This window comes from Homo sapiens, chromosome 3, assembly GCF_000001405.40.
Source record: "Homo sapiens chromosome 3, GRCh38.p14 Primary Assembly".
Lineage (NCBI taxonomy): Eukaryota > Metazoa > Chordata > Mammalia > Primates > Hominidae > Homo > Homo sapiens.
Genome location: NC_000003.12, coordinates 195,167,786 through 195,186,909, shown reverse-complemented (window position 1 = coordinate 195,186,909; position 19,124 = coordinate 195,167,786). Strand labels below are relative to the sequence as shown.

Here is a 19,124-nt window from a genome sequence, read left to right as displayed (position 1 = left end):
AAAAAAAAAAAAACTTCAGCCAGTGTTGTGGGTTAGAGGGCCCAGGTCCGTGGAGAGGTTATCACCAGCACTTCACTCACTCAGCAAAGATTTATTCAGTTTCACCTGTGAGCCAGATCTTGCCTAGGTGCTAAGGACATGGGGGTTAGAAAAACAGATGGGGTCGGTCTCTGTCCTCATGGAATGTACAGTGAAGATAGACATTAAGCAGATAATGGGAACAGCTGCAATAAGGGCAACGAAGGGGAAGTCCAGGTGCTGCCCGAGTGGGGGATTCAGGGTGTGTGGGGGGGGATTGTTACTAAAGACTTCCTCCAGACAGTGACATTTAAGGTGAGACAAGTGGGTGGGACTTAGCCAGGCCAAGACACGGAGGAAGAAGAGTGAGGCCGAGAGCATATTGAGTGGAAAAGCTTTGTGGGTGGAAGGAGCTTGATGTGCCCCAGAAGCTGAAGCCTTAGCTGCCTGGAGCACACCCCGGTCAGGCTATTCAGGGCCTTGAAAGCTGTGCGAGGGATTGGGGACTTTATCCTGGGGACAGTGGGATTTGCAACCACTGGTGGCATTTTAACCAATGGAGTAATATGGTTTGCATTTTCATCCAGTGACTTAAGTACTTTTGCATGCGTTCTTCTGTGGGATGGACCTGAAAGAATGGTCTGGACTTGAGGATCCCTGGAGAGCACAGTGAAGCTCAACGAAGAGTTCCAGTTGTTGGGTTGTGGTGAGGGAACCAGCAATGGAAGGTTTTGAAGAGGGGAATGACATGTCTGGGAGCAGCTCTGTGGTGGCTTTCAAAAGTTCTGGGGAAACTTGATCATGTAGCAGAAGGCAGCTGAGGAGGCGGTCCAGGCACTTAGGAGCACAGTGGCCTGGACTTCTTAGGTGAGAGGGGAGGTTGAGAGCTCGTGGTAGGTGTTGCAGGGACCCTAGAGCCAGAAAGCTGTGGACTGGTCTTCAGAGCTTGAGGGCCAAGGGAGCAGGAAGCCTTCACAGGAAAAGAAAGGTCTGAGTGAAAGTGACTGAAGAGAGGTGGGAAAGGGAAGGGAGAGGCCTCTGGTCTTGTTGTGCAAGGAGAGGGAGTGTCCAGGTATGTAGATGGGGTGTGAGCCTCTTTTAGAGAAGTAAGGGTTGGGCTCACTTGCAAGCACTCAGGAAGGACCGGAAGGAAGAAAGTGAAGATGCCGTCCCCATTGTGTCCCTCAGCGCCCAGAGGGTGTGTCGACCTGCTCCTCAGGCCAGGCCAGCCCAACACCTGTGACTAACATGACCTCAGAGTCTAAAATAATGTGTGCCACAGCTCTGAAGTCAGAAGGCTGATTTTTATAAATCAGCACAAATTGACCTTATTACCCATGGTCCTTCAGTGACCTCAGAAATCAAAGTGAAAAAAAAAAAAAAAAAAACCCAGCCCTAAACCTCTCTGGACCAAAGTTTTGCTCCTGAAGCAGGACCCCAAAATACTAGTGGCCTATTTTCTGCTGAAGTCTCTCTGTCCTCATGGTTCTGGAGAATGTCCTTTCAGTATCTTTATTCCTCCCCCATTTCACTGCAGATGTGCTCCAAGTTTCATGTTCCAGCAATCAGATGACCACGATGGAATATTCCCTGAGCTGGTGTTTCCAGTCTTTAGTCTAAGTTCTAAGACACTGAGCATTCCAAAACCCCTACTGTTCTGTTTCCCAGAACAGACCTTTCTTCCCTATTCTCCAGCACCCTCTGTTCCTTCCCCTTTCCTTTCCTTTTCTTTTTCTTTTTTCCTTCCTTCCTTCCTTCCTTCCTTCCTTCCTTCCTTCCTTCCTTCCTTCCTTCCTTCCTTCCTTCTTCCTTCTTTCCTTCCTTTTTTCTTTAATGGGAGTGAGGTCATTTGTGGAGCTGTCACTGCTCTGCAAGAGGGCAGGCATGAGGGGTGCCAGGCCCTCCTGACTTCTACCTTCTGATTTGTATGGTTTGTAAAATGAGCTGTATAAATGCCCAACATTTGATCAAACGAAACTGAAAGGATGATTGATGATGCGGGGATCAAACTTACCATTTGAATGTAGACCATTTTATTGGTAAAGATGAATGAGAATGATTTGGCCTGAAAGGGAACTTCAGATTTTTTTCCTAATTGAAGTAGTCACTTCTTTCAGAATGCTAAGTTCCCTGGAATATTTTCCCAGCCTACTGTGTCTATGATAGACTCAAATATTGGAAGTTTTACCGGCTGTGTGTGGGGTGGGGAAGGAATTCTGTTGGTTCTCCGGTGAGTCCTGAAGAGACCTTGTTTCTGGGTAAGTAGACCTAATCAGGGAGACTTAAATGTTTCTTGGGGGGGTTCTTCCAAACCATTTTGAGGATTTTCTTAAACTTCCAGAATTAGGAGGCCATTTATTAAGATAGTCTGAGGTATGGTGTCAGCCAACAAGGTGAGTTGGGATTTTAATCATGGTTTCAGTTTAAAGGCAAAGGTTTAATCATGTTTTCGGTTTAAAGATCATGCCGTTCAGTTAGCCCTTTGTTATGATCTAAAGGTGTTTGACAGCTTGAAATCCAAAAGGAGGTCAACTGAGGTATGGAGAGCTCCACATATTGGGCTAAAAGCCAGTCACATTTAGCATTTTGGAAAGTTATGTGAAAAATTGATATCGTCTGTTGTAAAACTGAAGCAATTGCCAAGCTTGTCCATTGTTCTTTTGCACTGAATTAACTCACTCTTAATAAAAGGACCGACACAGGGCCTTACACGGGTGGTCTTTGTGCAGGGCCCACCTGTGTATCTTGCTCTGATGGTTGTCTTTGCTCATAGCTCAATGATGCTGATTAAATGAGTTTAAGTGTGCTGGACAGTGTTGCACAAACTAGGCCATTTGTGTGTCTTTTCTCTTTCTCTTCCTTTGTAGATTATAAATTCAGCCTGTATTCTAACAAAAGATTTTCATTCCAGAATTTAAGGCAGTGTTCTTCTCTCAAAATGATATGCCTCACAGATGGTCTAGGGCAGCCAAGTGGATCACATAGCCCTTCGATCCTGGGAAGTGTCAGGCCTTCCAGTTTTTTTCTGACCATTCAGCCTTCACACTGGTTCCCTTCTAGTCTTGGACTGTTGAGGGGTAGAGTCCTAGTTGGTCCCAAATTGCCCCTTTCCTGGGGACCAGGGTGGGTAACAGTTGGGTTCTGGGCTCCTTGGTAGTTTCACTCCCTTCCTGTTTGCAACCATAGCAGAGCTTTGGATCATTCTGGAGGGACTTGAGTCCCCTGGATTCCTGAAAATGACCTAACCTTTTTGGATTCCTAGAACCAGACCTTCTGGCACTGGCCACAACAGATGGAAGCCAATTTTTCAGAGACCCAAAGGACAGACCAATCGTAGCCTGAATCCCAAGAGTTCAGTGGGAGACACACTGTATTCGTCTGTTCTCACACCGCTACGAAGAAATACCCGAGACTGGGTAATTTATAAATGAAAGAGGTTTCGACTCACAGTTCCACATTGTTTAGGAAACTTACAATCATGGCAGAAGACAAAGGAGAGGCAGGCACCTTCTTCCCAGGGGTCAGGAGGGACTGAGGGCCAGTAGGGGAAATGCCAGATGCTTATCAAACCATCAGATCTCATGAGAACTGACTATTACTAGAACAGCGTGGGGGAAACTGCCCCCATGATCCAATCACTTCTTACCAGGTCCCTCTCACGATGCGTGGGGGTTATGAGGATTACAATTCAAGGTGAGATTTGGGTGGGGACACAGCCAAACCACATCACACACAGTGAGTGGAACAGGGTAATGAATTTAGAGCCCCAAACCTGAACCCCATTCTTGCTTTCTCATTATATGAGCTCATCAATTATTTGTCCTGCCCGAGCTTCCGTTTCTTGACTTATAAAATGAGGATAAGAACATGCACCTCACAAGGCTTTATAGAAAAGAAAGGAGATGAAGTGTGTAAAAACGTGATATAAGCTATCATAACATAGTTAATCTTCTTTATAGATTTAGGAATTCTTCTATTGTTGGTACATACGTTAGTACAGGCACATTAGAAGTTTCTCAGTAATTTTTTGGGGTTCAGGGAGTTGTTTTGGCAGCCCCATGCTAAACGTTTTAATCCTTACCGTTTATAGGGAGGCAGTTGTTTTTATTGTTGAGAGAAAAAATAGATTTCACATAAAGGGATGAAAAATGTAAGGTCTTTTGTTCTTTTTATTAATTTCCTTCCTTTCGTCAGTGACTTTTTGTATTAAGATCTACACTCTTGATGGGGAAAGCAGACCTCGGCTTATTGCTAGGTTTCAGGGGAGTGGGGGAGGAGGGAGAATGAAAAACAAGCAGGATGTTTCCTCCTCCACGGAGCTGTTTATAAGCTTTTGGCAGCATGAGTAACACACTGTGCTCGTCTAGTGAGTCTGGCTCTGCGGCTCTGAGGCTTGCCCATTTGCATATAGGACTAATTGATTTATTGGGAGAATGAGACTTAGAACCTTTAGGATGGAGATGTTACCTTCCAGTCTCTTGTATAGTAAAAGCTACTATGATTACTTTCAGTAGATAAACAAGTTGCTTTATGTAGTTGTCCTCGTCAGGTAATAGCAGCAGCAGCAGCAGTGACAGTTGACATTAACTGAGCAATTATTAGAGGTTAGTCACTATTCTAAGTGCTTTACATGTGCTGATTCCCGATCTGCACTGCCACCATATAAGGTAGGAAGGCGGATATGGTAGTTTCCCATCTTAAAGGCGAGAGAATCCAGCACAGAGGGGTTAAATGACTTGCCCGGGAGCACATACCTCGTTTAGGGGCTGGCACAGTATCTGGAAAGATGATGACTAGGTTTTAGGGTGTTGGATCAATGAGTGAATGAGTAAATATGCCCTTCACAGTGTCTGTCACAAGGCAAGGACTCAACAAATGGCAGTTTTTAGTCATATTGCTCTGGAATTGGACCAGAGAACTGGAGTGTTTGTTGAGATAGAAAGTGTGTTTGTAGTAGCATATTTTATTGGAGACCTTGGGTGACCAGCTTTCTCAAGAAAAATACGGAAGCTCATTAGGAGCTAACCTCTGACTTTAGCTTGGGCAGTTTACCCATTGTCCATGAGTTAGGCCATTCATTCATCTTCCCCTCTTATTTCCATGTATTATGCAGTGGTTAAGGGTATCAGCTGTGGGAGGAACAGCCCTGGTGCAAAACCCAGCACTGCCAGATACCACCTGTGGGCACTTAACCACTTGGGCCCAAGACTTCTCCTCTGAAATGAGGGTGAGAGGATCCAGCACATGGCTGGATACATTATCCATGGAAATACACCTATCTCGAGGGTTGTTGTGAGCACCAAGTGAGCTTATATACAGGAACAGCTTCCAACAGTACCTGGCACACAGTAAGCACTCAAGCAGTGTTACCTGCTCACACCATGATTGTGGATATCTATTATCATCCACTTCCTCAGTCCCCTGTCACAGCCCTCAGAGAATTTGAGGTGTTCACTAAAATGACACAAAGGTGAAAAAACAAAACCAAGTAGACACTCAGGGCCAGGGGGTAAATGTGTAGAAGATGAAAGTGTAGACCTCATAGAAAAAGACATAAAGGCACGCCTGGTGGCAAAACATGCTCCGCAGCCCCGCAGCCCCGCAGCCACGCAGCCACGCAGCCACGCAGATACACAGCCAGTGTGAAAAGGGAGATTGTCATCCTTTATGGAGCCGTCATTGTCAGAGAGAAGGAAGCAAGTCAGTCCTCAGGGGAAGCAAGTCAGTCCTCAGGAGAAGCACAGTGTTCTCAAGCACCGACTTCTCAAATAAATTACCTTTATTTCTCTTTTTAGAACATGTTCTCTAAGTGCTACACACCTGGCCGCAGGTGGGCCCCATCAAAGGCTCAGATGCTCCGGCCTTGTCTTTCCCTCTCACGGCCTGGAGTCACCACCCTTTAGCCCTTTGTCTGAACTGAATTCCTTGAAATCAGTTGGGCATTTTATATTTTGGTTTGTGGTCAAACCTCATTAGCCAAGAAGGGATGAACCATACCACTTACTTTTGTATAGCTAAAGGTCTGGGCGACAGTGGCCTTGAGGACCCCTCACGAGCAAAGTCCTGAGGCAGGACTAGGGACAGGCCTTGGAGCTTCTCCCGAGGAGGGCCGGCGCTGCCCTTGCTCCTGGCGAGCAGGTGTGTGCTTGCAGGGGTGGGGGCAGTGGGCAGGCGCCTTTCCCGTCTGCTTGTGTGTGTCCAGAGCTGTCAGACCCATGTTCCTGGTCACGTTTGCAGTGGCACGGGGTGCTCCAGCCACCGCCGTCTGGTGCTCTTAGCCAGACGGGGCCACATCACGCTCTGGAGAGGGCTGGGAAGGGCCTTAGGGTCTGGCCTCAGATGCTGACCCTTATCTGTTTGTTTGCTTCTTTTCAAGGGCTACAGAGCCAGGAAGAGGAGCATAGAAAGAAAAAGGAACAGGAAATTGTTCAAAAGAAGTTCATGAAATGAGAAAAGCAGCAGGAAACAGCTCGGGAATCGGCGAGGCTGCAGCCGAAGGAAGTGTGTCTTGAGGGCCAGGCGGGCCAGGGGGATAAACCATCCAGACCTTTGTGGCTCCTTCCTTCTGGGCCCTCATGAGTTGGGTCCCCAGGATGGAAGGGACCTTTCCTGTAACTGGGGGACCGAGTGTGCCACTCACCACCCCCGGTGTCAGTGCAGAGACGGGGATCTGGCGTTAGAAATGACTGTGCATAAGCCAGACCACCCCAGGCCTGCTACACAGCTGCCTCCCTCCCTGCCCCTCTTGTTTGCTCCCCTCCTTCCATGACGGGTCAGCGGTGCTCTGCCAGAACCCCACTGCTTGGGGCCGCTCAGAGATTCTTCTGTCCCTCACCAGGCGCTCCGTCACTCAGCCGCACCCTGGCCCGACTCTGCCTGCAGTGTGGAGTCCCGGCCTGGAGCCTGCCTGTGTTGGGGGAGACAGTGGGAGGGAGAGGAGGAAGCAAAGGCCCGAGGGATCACGGGGAGGCATCCTCAGGGGCCCACGCATCAGTCACAGCATGGGCGACGCAGGGCAGGTTTCCTGGCTCAACACCACACTTAGGAAATCCTTTGTTAATTGTGACTCGTTTTTAAATTTGTCCCACATCTCTACGGCTGCAAGTGGAATCTGGAAAATCACCTTTTTTGTGCTTTTCTCATGGGCAGGATGAAATTGAGTTCCCAGTTAGAAACTGCTTACCTCTCGGTGTGGGCTGTTTGCCTCCGGTTTGTTTCTGTTTTTGGGGTTTTTCTGTTGGAATTGACTAGTGGACTTACAAGCTGACGGTGTCCATTCTGGGGCCAATGTCTCCTCAGCATTCCTCCTCCACACACGCAGGCCTCTTCAGCCGACTGATTCTTTGGCCAGTGTTCAAGTTGAGTGTAAATAGGACGTGACTGAAAACCAGTTCTTGAGCTTCCATATCCTTTTCTGGTCAGAGTATTGAACACTGCAGTTTTTAGTGGAGTTAAGGGAGTTGTTGAATTGGGTCAGAGTGTTTTGGGGCTGGAAAAACTCTGAGGTACGATCCCATCATGAGTTCTTTTTTTTTTTTTCTTTTTTTTTTTGAGACGGTGTCTCACTCTTGTCGCCCAGGCTGGAGTGCAGTGGCGCGATCTCGGCTCACTGCAACCTCTGACTCCCTGGTTCAAGCAATTCTCCTGCCTCAGCCTTCCGAGTGGCTGGGATTACAGGCACGTGCCACCATGCCCAGCTAATTTTTGTATTTTTAGTAGAGACGGGGTTTCACCATATTGCCCAAGATGGTCTTGATCTCCTGACCTCATGATCCGCCCGCCTCGGCCTCCCAAAGTGCTGGGATTACAGGCGTGAGCCACCGCGCCCGGCCCCATCATGAGTTCTTGAATCTCCTCCATGGCCTCCCTGGAGTGTGGAGTTGTCCAGTGGAAACTACGTGAAGGCCCAGGGACAGGGAGCTGCCACCTTCAGAGTAGCCTCTTCCATCTTCAGACATATTTTAGAAAACTCTTTCTTATGTTTTCCAAAACCTGCTTTTATCTCTTGATGCTTCAGCTCTCGATCTCAATGAAGAAGCCTATTTCCTTTCTTTTACAAATTCAGAGAGAGCCTTCCATCAGGGGAAACAGTCCCGGCTTCCCCATGTGCTCCCTGGTGGAAATATCTCTAGGTTCCCTGCTCTCCAGATACCTGCTTCTGAATGCACAGCAGTTGGTCTCTGCTCCCCTCAAGTACGGGGCCCAGGTGTGAAGACCGTGCTTCAGAGCTGGGCACTGGGAGAGGGCAGACACAAACCGGAGTGCAGAGTACAGGGCTATTCTCAGCTCCCTGCGTGAAACCAGGGAGCTCTGCCTCTGCTGATGGAGCTGCGCCAAGTCCTTATTTGATGGCCGCGTCCTGCTGGAGACACTGAGTTTGCAGTGGCACCAAATCCTCTGTGTGTGCCCTTTGTTGTGGCCGCTCCACATTTCCAGGATGGTCTCCACCCAGAATTTGATTTGAACGTTGAGACCACATAATAGGGTTTTCTGGAGAGAGCAGGGCCGGCTTCTCAAGCTGGTCTGAAAATGAAAGACAGGGAAGAGAAAGGAGAAAGGAGACTGGTCTGGGGATTGTATGGTGATTAGCGGTTAGGTTTGGGCGAGGGTTCCGTGTGGGCAGGGGCTTACATGGTTTGAACCTTCTGCTGCAGCCAAGCGGGAGAGCATCCAGACTTTCTTATCAGCTTGCCCAGATGTGGGGCAGAAGGGGAAGAGCGAGGGATGGGGCTTAAAAAAAAAAGCTGTCAGCAGTTAAAGAGCAAAAAATGGAGTCAGACTGTCATACCTCCTTTTCATTTATTTTCTATCAAGATCAAATGTTTAATACAATGAAATGCACAGGTCTTAAGTGTGCAGTCCAGTTAGTTTTGACAAACTTATATACCCTTGTAACTGATACTCCAGTCAACAAAAGCAACATTTCCATCCCTCTTTTTTTTTTTTTTTTTTTTTAAGAGACAGAGCCTTGCTCTGTCACTCAGGCTGGAGTGCGGTGGCATGAACACAGCTCACTGTAACTTCCAACTCCTGGACTCAAGCAATTACCCCACTTCAGCCTCCTGAGTAGCTGGGACTACAGGCGCATGCCTAGCTAATTTTTTTATTTTTTATTTTTTTATTTTTTTTGTAGAGATGGGATCTTGCTGTGTTGCCCAGGCTGGTTTTCAAACACCTGCACTCAGCGATCGTCCTCCCTCAGCCTCCCAAGGTGCTGGAATTATCACTGTGAGCCACCGTACCTGGCCATCTCCCCATTTTTTGAGGCTACTGCTAAGGCAGGTCTCATGGCCACGAACTTGTGTGGTTGGTTGGCATGATGCCACTGCAGGGCTTTCATGTTCAGCCCAAGTTTGAGTTGGTGCATTGATCCTACCCCACCAGGTTGTGTCAGAGACTGATTCTTCTGCCCTTTCTGTTTGCCATTCTGTGTCTCTGTTTCATGCTCTTGGCAAGCCTGGTAAGTATCTTTCTCTATCTTCTAGTAAGTCCTTGATGAACACATTCAAGAGTCAAGAGAGAATCTTGAATTCATTCATTTGAGGTCATCTTGAAATTGAGGTCCTCCTTCAGATCCTGTTCTGGAGGCCAGGGATAAAAGGGCAAGATACAGTCCATACCTCTGTGGGCCTCACTGTCTAGGAAGCATCACAGATGCACAAATGCCTAAATATAATACTGTGTGCATATGCAGTAGAACTACGCGAGTTAATACTGTAAGGGAGCAGGTGATTCTGCACGGACAGCCTGGGAAGCCCACAGGAGGTTCAGGAGTTCGGCAGAAGGGCTCCTGTAGAAGCCTGAGGGAGGGACCCAGCCTTTATGAGTAGCACCCTTCCCTTTCCCTGGAGTAACCCCTGGCTGGTAGTGCTGATGTGAGAGCCCAGCGAGGAGGGCGGCATGTGGTCCCCGACCTGCTGTGGCGGGGGGACGTCAGCAGCGGCAGCAGGCCGGGGAGTTAGTCCCTAGGCGGGGGCTTGAGAGTTTCTTGCTGGTTCCAAGGAGTCGGCCTTGTCCTACCTCTCAGATCACCTTTCCAGCAGACCCTGTGGGCCTGTGCTCTGTGAGGTAAGGAGGGTTACCATGGGAACTGTGACTTTTGCGTCTTCTTACTGAGCTTTTCATATTGTCAATTCCAACCCCAAACATCTGCCTTTTGCATGTTTAGAGTCCTTAGGTAAGCGTAAGGGAGTGCCAGCTGTGGTGTGGGATACAGATTACTGTCTTGCTTCCTCCAGCTCTCCAGCCTCATCAACATCAATGTATCTCCAAACATGAGGAACTGGAGAAGCTAGGGAGCTTAATAAACACGATAAATTAATCAAATTATACCAGTGTGTCAGAGGGGTGGAACGTACTGATGGCGCACAAGCAAGATTGTTGTGTTTGAAACCGAAGACAGAATATTCAAGATCTGCTTCTCATCTCATTTCATACCAGTTCTTTTCAGATCATGGGGGAGAAGTGTGATCACAGAGGATCAGAATTACTGGGAGGGGATTTAAGCATTCTACACACCCCTCCTCTACCCAGGATTATAATATGCATGCCAGGGCAGGGGAACGTCACCTCTTCTCCCTTTCAGGTCATTACTGGAATGTGGTCATGTTGTTAAAATTACAGCCTGGGCAACATGGTGAAACCCTGTCTCTACAAAAAATACAGAAATTAGCGGGGCATGGTGGTACACACCTGTAGTCCCAGCCACTTGGGAGGCTGAGGTGGGAGGATCATCTGAGCCCAGGAGATGGAGGTTGCAGTGAGTTGGCATCATGCCATTGCACTCCAGCTTGGGCGATAGAGTGAGACCCTGTCTCAAAAAAAAAAAATTCTGTCATATCTTTTAGGTGTGTGGGCAGAAAAAAGATTGTGTCTACTTGACTTAAGCTGCTACGTATACACTGATGACCTCTGTGTTAGTAAGGCTAGACTAAGCTGGGCTGTAATAACAAACATGACTGAAATTTCTGTGACTTCATACATAATTTTTTTTTTTCTTTCCCACACAAATGTCACACTGGATGCATTGGCTTTCTAGGACATCTTCCTTTTAAGCAGTGACTCGGGAATCGAGGCCACTTCCATCCTGTAACGACGCCATCTGGAGCATGTGGCTTCCAGGGGAGCAGTGGCTGAGGCCCTGCAGTGGCTTCTCACTGCTACAGTCCAGAGTTGCACACAGCACTTCTGCTCATAGTCCATCAGCCAGGAGCTAGTCATGTGGCCACCTCGCTGCAAGGATCCAGGAAGGCAGAGTGCGGGTGAGCACTAGCGATGTCTGTTACTACCGTGTCCATCTGAGACCTGCTTCTGAAACACCCAGACCTGTGTCCTAACTACCCCTAGGAATCTCCATCTGAACAGCCCATGGGTGCAGCAAAGTCAACATGCAACACAGAACTCATTGTCGTCCTCTCCCCAAATGTGCCCTTTCCGAAGCTTGGCTAATGACAGGTTGCTTGAGCCAGAAACAAAGGAATGGTCTTAGACTTCCCTTCTGTCCGCATTCCCCCAGTTCCATCTCACACATGTCTCCTGAGAGCTTCTGCCCTCTGCTTCTGTCCGCCGGGCTGGTGCTCAGCCAGTGCACGCTGCGTGGCCCTCCTGACTGTAGAAGAGCCTCTCTTGTTATGGGGAGAGGACTTCTCTGTCTTCCGAGGACTTAGGCCGAGCATTACTGCCTGTGTGTACTTCCCTGACCGCTCTGCCCTGGCAGAATTTGATGCTCAACAACTGTGGCTCTGAGGGCACAGCCCCGATTGCTCTGGGGTAGAGCTTTTTCATCGTTGCTCTAAGTTTCTTAAATGGGGAAGCTCTTTACCAAGTGAACCTGGTTCTGTGAGTCTTGTATTTCCTCCTTTTAAAAAATAATAGTTGTTGTTGAATGTGTACTAAGGGACAATCCAAGCCCTCATGGAGCTTACAGTCTTATGAGAGAGGCCAACCATAGATAAGTAAACAAACAGATGTACAACTGTGGCTGGGCACGGTGGCACACTCATGTAGACCCAGCTTCTCAGGAGGCCAAGGAGGGAGGATCGCTTGAGTCCAGTCCGAGACCAGCTCAGGCAACATAGTGGGACCCAATCTCTATGAAAAGAAGAAGGAGAAGGAGAAGAGGAAGGGAAAGGGGACGAGGAGGAGGCAGCCAAGGGGAGGAGGAGAAGGAGGAAGAGGAAGAAGAGAAAGGGAAGGGAAGGGAGGGAGGGGGGAGGGAAGGAAAGGAGGGAGGGAAAGAGGGAAGGAAAGGAAATAGCTAGGCATGGTGGCATGCTCCTATAGTCTCAGCTACTCAGGAGGCTGAGGCAGGAGGATCACTTGAGCCCAGGAGTTCAGGACCAGCCTGGGCAACATAATGAGACTCTGTCTTTTAAAAAAAATTAAAATTAACCGGGTGTAGTGGTGTGCACCTGTGGTCTCAGCTGTTCAGGAGGCTGAGGTGGGAGGATCACTTGAGCCCGGGAAATCAAGGCTGCAGTGAGCTGTGATTGTGCCACTGCACTCTAGCCTGGGTGACCAAGGGAGACCCTATCTCAGAAAAAAAAAGGTATAATTGCCAACTGTGGGAAGTCCTAAGAAGAAAAAGAGTAGGCTGCTGTGAGGAAGAGAGCCCGTGTGTTTCCTCTTCCCAGGATCCACTCCTCTGCCTCCTCTGCAGAGGAAAAGTGAAAGCCTCATTTTCTTTTGAGGCTCTAGACAAAGGGTCTCTAGACAAAGATGGGGTGGTGTGTGGAAGGTTTCCTGATTGCCAGTAGCAAGGCTGGCAGGAGGCTGGCTTATATGAAGCTGACCAATGAAATGATCTACAGCCCTCGTTAAAAAAGAAAAAATCACCAGAGAAGTGTCTGCCTGGCCTGGTGTCCTCCTTCTGCCTTGAGCTTCCTCTCCATCCTCTGACTGAGGGACTCTGAGTATGTCACTCTGCTCCTGCAACCCGAGGGAGCCAGCGGCTGTTCTCACCAGTGCCTACTGACACAGCCCTTAGTCTCGTGACCTGGGGAAGACCCCAGCAATGACATCTCCACAATTCCTGTCAGGGAAATGAGGTCATTGCCACTCATGGCCCATAGGAGGGACTCCCTGGTGGGAGCTGGGTGCTCTCCTGGACAGCGAGCCGGTGCGGGATGGCCTGAGATGCAAAGCTCCTTCTGCTTTCTAAAGTGAAGTTCACTTTATCCACGATGCCTTTCAGTAGGATTCCCCTGAGCCCGTACTTTACCCCGAGTCAGTGGACTACTGTGGTGGGGAGGGTGGAGGAAGGGAATTTGGAAAAGTGGGAAGCTCACTGGCCATTTGAAAACCAGAAAGGAAAATGAAAGGTCTTTAAAATGATGCTTTTAGTCATTAGGAGCATACGATTCAGTGAATAAAAATAGAGTTTCATGTCCGTTTTTAGGTGCATAGCAAGGCTGTGCTGGGAGCTGTTCTTCCGCCCAGTCTTATATGAACCAGAATGTTACTTAGTGTCGAGCACCTCCTAGGTAACAACACAAAGGAGAATGAGGCCAGGAGCAGAACCAGGCCATAATGGCCAGGCAGATGCTGGGGGAGGAGACGCTGCGTCTTTCCCTGAGCCTTCCTGGTATTTTCTTTCCTTGAGGAGTAGCAGCTACACTCTCTGTCTTTGGCCCCAGCCTCACAAAAGTTAGCCAGGGGACCTAAAATGCAGGGGAGATGCGGTTCCCTAGTGGGAGAGCTCTATGACATCTCTCAGGGTGAGCATCTCCACTGTTGGGAGCACCGTCTAGAGAGCCAGAGCTCCTGATGGACTTGCAAGATGTGTACCAGGACGCCAGGATCAGGGTAGAGGCATGGAGAGGTGCCAAGTCTTGAAAGTAGGGGTGTCGATCAGCCCCGGGGGGCTGCCAAACCACTCCTCTCTAATGCCTAAAGCCCCTCACCCGATCAGGTGTGTCCACCTAGCTCTCTAGCCACGGCTTTAAGCTTTAGTACCTTTCTTCCTCACTCACCCATGCTCCAACTCCACTGGTTCTCCTCCCCGCTTTTTAACAGAAATGTGCTAAATGCATTCCTTGATTTTTCACTAGTGACTCCCTTTGCCCTCTTTCCCCAAATCTTTGCATTTCTGTTTCCCCACAGTTCAAGTTTCAGCTCAAATGTTGCCTTTTGAAAAGCCCTTCCCTGACTATCCGATGCCAGTAGCTCTCACAATGTCACATTCTCCCCCATCACCCTATTTTATTTTCTCCGAAACACTTACTGCCATCTGAGGCCATCTTGTCTACTCTGTAAGTTACAGGAGTGGGACCCCTGCCTGTCTTTCCCCTGCCTTATCTGCAGTGGCTAGAGCAGTGCCTGGTTCACAGTAGGGGTGTAATAAATATTCGTTGAATGATTGAAAGAATGCAAAGTTGTTAGTCATGAACAGGGAAGGCATCCATGTCTTAGAACTTTGCAGTGTGTTGTTGCTGGCTGCGGGTACTGTTGATGGGACACTCACTCAGAGGTTCCGGCTTGGTACTTCCCCTGGCCCCGGAGAGAACCTGGGACCGTGCTCACGTTCAGCAGTGCCCAGCTGGTAACTTCTTGGGGCAGTGTTTTTCCTCCTGAGCGAAACACTTCGAGCAGCATCTTGTTTCTGTTTTTATTCCAGCATGGCAAGCCTCTCGTTAGGTGCAGGAGGAAACCTTGGTGCAGTTCCAGGTTTTTCTTTTGAAAAGCAGAAGGGCTCTGTCTGTCTTGGAGCAGAAAATCCCAGATCGCCTGGGCTAGAAGTGCTTTTGACCAATTTTGTTAATGTTAAAGGAATTAAAGTTACCAACCATCATGATGGTACTTAAAATATGAATGAAGGTACAAGTGTTTTAAAAAGAAAACAAAACTCAAACTGGCTCCCCTGGAAAAGGAACATCCCTTTTCCTTTTGGTACGTGTTCAGCGTTTCTGTGACCACACAATTAACGCCTGGCTTTATAACTGAAATCACTTGGGAATTCTTTTAAGATTGTTCAAATCTTCCATCACTGACAGTTACCAAACTCTGTACCTGGATGTTTATCACTTAACTATTAATGACTCCAGTAAAGTCACAAATAACTGTTGTATGAATTGCACAGAGGCAACCTCATCTCTTGATATTGGACTAGAATATTCAGAAAGCAAATTTGCCCTGACCTGGCATTCTGGGAACCAGACCATGAATACAGACCTGTGGGGAAGCGACCTGTTTTGGAAGAGGAGAGAAAGGGCAGGGCATGGCGTCTCTGCCTCATCAGAGCAGTACACGCTTTTTGTTTGTTTGTTTGTTTGACATCCATGGAGATCGGGAAACTGCAGGTTTAAGAGTACAATCAAGACACCAATAATCCAGATACCACCTGCCTGGATAAGGTTAAAATGTCTTAGTTTCCATAGGAATGCCAAAGTTTTTCGTTCATGCAGGCGTGTAGGAAATTAAACCCCAAGAAAGGCCAAGTCAGATTTCTTAATCCACCCCAAGTGATGACATTTGAAGTCTGGGTTTATGGTTGGAAAGTGACCGGGTAAAAATAGCACTGACTGACTCAACAAATACACCATCTCGGGCTCCCAGAGCTGTTGATGTGTGCGGACGCTGGTAACAGACCCCAGGGCTTGGCCGTTCAGAACCTGCCCTCCTGTGGGAAGGGTAGGGCTGCCAGGAGAACTTAGGCTTGCCTGTGGCATCTCCTGCCCAGGTGCCCAGCTCTTTCCATGCCCAGTTCCCGAAGCGTGCGGTCCAGGCTCACCCTGTGCCTTTGCTGGCTGTTAACTCAGAGGGAAGCCCGTTGGCTGCTTTTGCTGTTGGGTTTGGATGGTCTGTATCACTTTAGGCAGTAGCAAGTTCATCACCTTCCACCTCATTGTCTGCAGTGAGGTTTACACAGTCATTTAAATCTGACAGGAAGGGAATTGCTTTGCCTCAGTTTACCTCCCTGGACACAGAGGTTTGACTGAACTTTCCCATTCATGAGCTCGTGTCCTCACCTATTTCTGAGGCTGCTCTTTCATGGCTGGATTACTTTTTTTTTTTGGTTAAGACGGAGTTTCACTACATTGCCCAGGCTGGACTCGAACTCCTGTGCTCAAGGGATCCTCCTGCCTTGGCCTCGCGAAGTGCTAGGTTTACAGGTGACAGTCACTGCTCTGGCTTAGTGGGTTCCTTTAGGCCTGGAGCTCTGAGAATGCAAATTGGCCTCTGGGAAAGGCTCAGTCTCTGGAGGCTTGAGGATTTTTCTAAGCTGCTCAGATACTCAGAGCATCTGCTCTTTCCAAGATGTACTTGGCAAGAAGAGATGGGGAAATGTAGCATAAATACAGCTAGATGAATGACAGGAAACGAAGCCAGGTGAGATGAACTCTCAGCTTATTGTTTGATTTTTCTTTGACAAATGCATTTGGAAGTCCAGTCAACCATCTTGTGGTGAAGCAGGAAGGTTGCAGAAGCTTGGAGCGGACTTGGCTTCGGAAGAAGGTTGTATAAATAGGTGCCTCTGTTGACTTTGAGAAGGAATCCTAAAGAAAGTTGCGGTCATGGCTAAATGCCTTAAATCTCATGCACATTGACTAAAAGATGGGTGTTTTCTGTGAGGTAGTTAATTAATTTCTTTTAAAATGTTTTCAAAAGCAATATATGTCCATTTTGGAAACATGAAAAATACTTTAAAAATAATTGCACACTTATTCCAGTGGTATTTTGTATATTTTCTTCTGGTTTCATATGTGTGTGTATATACACACATATATATAAATATATACATTAACGGCCAGGCGTGGTGGCTCACGCCTGTAATTCCAGCACTTTGGGAGGCCGAGGCTGGCGGATCACTGAGATTGGGAGTTCAAGACCAGCCTGATCAACATGGAGAAACCCTGTCTCTACTAAAAATACAAAATTAGCCGGGCATGAAATCCCAGCTACTTGGAAGGCTGAGGCAGGAGAATCGCTTGAACCTGGGAGGCAGAGGTTGCGGTGAGCCGAGATCGTGCCATTACACTCTGGGCTGGGCAACAAGAGCAAAACTCCATCTCAAAAAAAAAAAAATATATATATATATATATGTACACACACACACATTAATATACATTTGACACACTGATACTCCTACATAGAACATATATTACAATATTATATAGTTATAATTTCAAATATTTATCCCTGTGATTACAAAAGTGTGTGTGTGTGTTTGTATATAGTAGAAAACTAGGAAGACTATAGGGAAGAAATTTAAAATACAGTCGCTCCTTTACTTATGGGGGGGGCTATAGCCCAATAAACCTATCGTAAATAAAAAATATCCTAAGCTGAGAATACATTTGATGCCTTGATAAACCCATCCTAAAGCTGAAAAATTGTGAAGTGGAACCGCATTGTGGCGGGGACCATCTATATCTGTGTCCCACTGTGGCATGAGGGGACGTGGCAGCTGGTCTCCAAAGCCGACCCCTAAGGGAGACACCTCCCTGTACGCACACCTTTGTGTTGGTCCCTCTCCCTGAGTCTGGGCTGGCACCGTGGCTTGTTTTGACAAATGGGATGGAGTGGAAGTGATGCCGAGTGCCTTCCAAGGCTGGGTCACAAGAGGCCCTGCCGTTTCAGCCTGGGTCTCCTGGAACACTCACCGTGGCAGACTTCCCCTTGGACCCGGCTGCCGTGCCGGGATGGAGCCTGAACCTCAGGGAGAGCCCACGTGAGCTCATCAGGATGACAGCTCTGCTAAGCGCGTTGCCGCGGCCAGCAGGGACTGCTGCGACCTGTGTAGCCATCATGGTCGGCCAGCCAGGCTGAGCCTTTAGAGGCCTCCAGCCCAGCCACCGTCTTACTGCATTCGCCCAAAAGACCCCCACAATCAGACCCTGCTAAGCCTAGGGGACCCACGGAACTGTCAGGGATAGTAATACACTGTTGTTTTAAGCCACTAGGTTTTGGAGTGATTTGTTTCCCAGAAGTAGGTAACTGCACAGGGAGTGGGTGGAATCAGAGGTAAGCCCTGTTTAAAGGGACCACATTGAGGCAAAAGAGCTCAGACTTTGTGATGGGGATGGGGACTAACTTGCATTTCTGCTGGTCACTCACTGGCCGTGTGACCCTAAGCAGGTTATTACAGGCCACCGTGGACCTGAATTTTCAACATTTGCAAAATAGAAAGTGAGGGCCTTTCAAATATTCCAGGGGCTGGCACACAGTAGGTACTAAGGAAATGTTAGTTTCCATATGGTGATATTTAATGATCATGAGGAATGTTGCAGAAGAGAGGGGAGCTGTCAGTAGTAAGGCAGGTCCCAGCACCTCCCAGTCTCTGGTTCTCCTTCATAGGCAGGGCCCTCTCTCAGCAGGGCCTGCCCATGCTTGCTGGGTGACTGGGGAGCAGGGCTGCTGCCCTCAGGACCAGGGTAGGATGGAAGCAGCTGCAGCAGTGGCAGCAGAGGATATTTAGTGAAAAAACCTCCAGTATTTGCATTTTGAGGCTAGGAAAGACACTATTTATTTCTGAACCCTCACATTTAGCATAGTGCTTGGCACATAGTAGGGATTTTGTGGCTTGCTTAGCTGGGCATGGGTGAGAACAACGCAGTAGAGTATATCTCCTGTGTCTGATGATATATTTGTGCTGTTCTGAGAACAAACAAGGTATGAGTGAGGGGCAAAGACCATTCCTGTTCAGAATCACAGGGTGGTAGGGCTGGGAGGAGTCTCAGACCACATTCATTTCAAACCCCTCATCCTTACAGTCTGCGACAGCTGGGGATGGCTTGCCCATGGTTGGACGCAGTGCCATAGCCAGGCCGGTGAGCCACGGCTCTATCCCAGGGCCCTACCTACTCACGCTTGCCTAAAATCCCTCAGTTCATATTTTGTGAAATAATGGAGAGCCCATGTCAACAGTTGTTTAAAAAAACAAATAGAGGAAAGAAAAGGTGTTCTGGTGCTGCCTGTGGTATGCAGTGATCATTTCTTCATCGAGTATGAGTGGACAGTGATCCCGTATCCTGGAGATTTTTCTAAGCGGGTCATTGCTGCCTCAAGTACTTGGATGATGGGCCCAAAGCTCCAGCCTCAGCAGCTCTGACACTTCTGCCTTGTCCAGTTCCCCTGCCTCAGGCACCACGGAGCCTTCTGGTATTTGC

The 19,124-nt window shown here is 48.3% G+C and overlaps 1 protein-coding gene across 6 annotated transcripts in view, besides 3 other annotated features; it reads left to right on the top strand.

Moving 5' to 3' along the window:
- XXYLT1 (xyloside xylosyltransferase 1) overlaps positions 1-19,124 on the top strand; it is a 202,876-nt gene that overhangs the window by 84,250 nt on the left and 99,502 nt on the right. The window contains exons 3-5 of one of the 6 annotated variants that reach the window (XR_924105.4): positions 6,395-6,519; positions 11,057-11,279; positions 11,365-17,307. The exons of 4 other annotated variants lie outside the window; for them this stretch is intronic. Coding sequence is in view for 1 of the 2 variants with exons in the window: in NM_001410854.1 (NP_001397783.1) it covers positions 11,237-11,279 (43 nt within the window). In the remaining variant the exon portion in view is untranslated. Of the gene's footprint in view, positions 1-6,394; positions 6,520-11,056; positions 11,280-11,364; positions 17,308-19,124 lie in introns of those variants that run through there. One more of the 6 variants, NM_001410854.1, reaches the window with a different exon arrangement.
- Positions 1,473-2,672: an enhancer, noted in NCBI's record as "P300/CBP strongly-dependent group 1 enhancer chr3:194904967-194906166 (GRCh37/hg19 assembly coordinates)". NCBI's record gives its function as "activates an origin of replication core promoter dependent on BRD2, BRD4, P300/CBP, MED14 and CDK7 cofactors, with strong dependence on P300/CBP, by STARR-seq in HCT116 cells {active_cell/tissue: HCT116}" and the evidence as "EXISTENCE:reporter gene assay evidence [ECO:0000049][PMID:35650434]".
- Positions 5,697-6,274: an enhancer, noted in NCBI's record as "H3K27ac-H3K4me1 hESC enhancer chr3:194901365-194901942 (GRCh37/hg19 assembly coordinates)". NCBI's record gives its function as "activates a minimal SCP1, AML or CMV promoter by ChIP-STARR-seq in naive H9 embryonic stem cells {active_cell/tissue: H9 hESC(naive)}" and the evidence as "EXISTENCE:reporter gene assay evidence [ECO:0000049][PMID:30033119]".
- Positions 6,275-6,852: an enhancer, noted in NCBI's record as "H3K27ac-H3K4me1 hESC enhancer chr3:194900787-194901364 (GRCh37/hg19 assembly coordinates)". NCBI's record gives its function as "activates a minimal SCP1, AML or CMV promoter by ChIP-STARR-seq in naive H9 embryonic stem cells {active_cell/tissue: H9 hESC(naive)}" and the evidence as "EXISTENCE:reporter gene assay evidence [ECO:0000049][PMID:30033119]".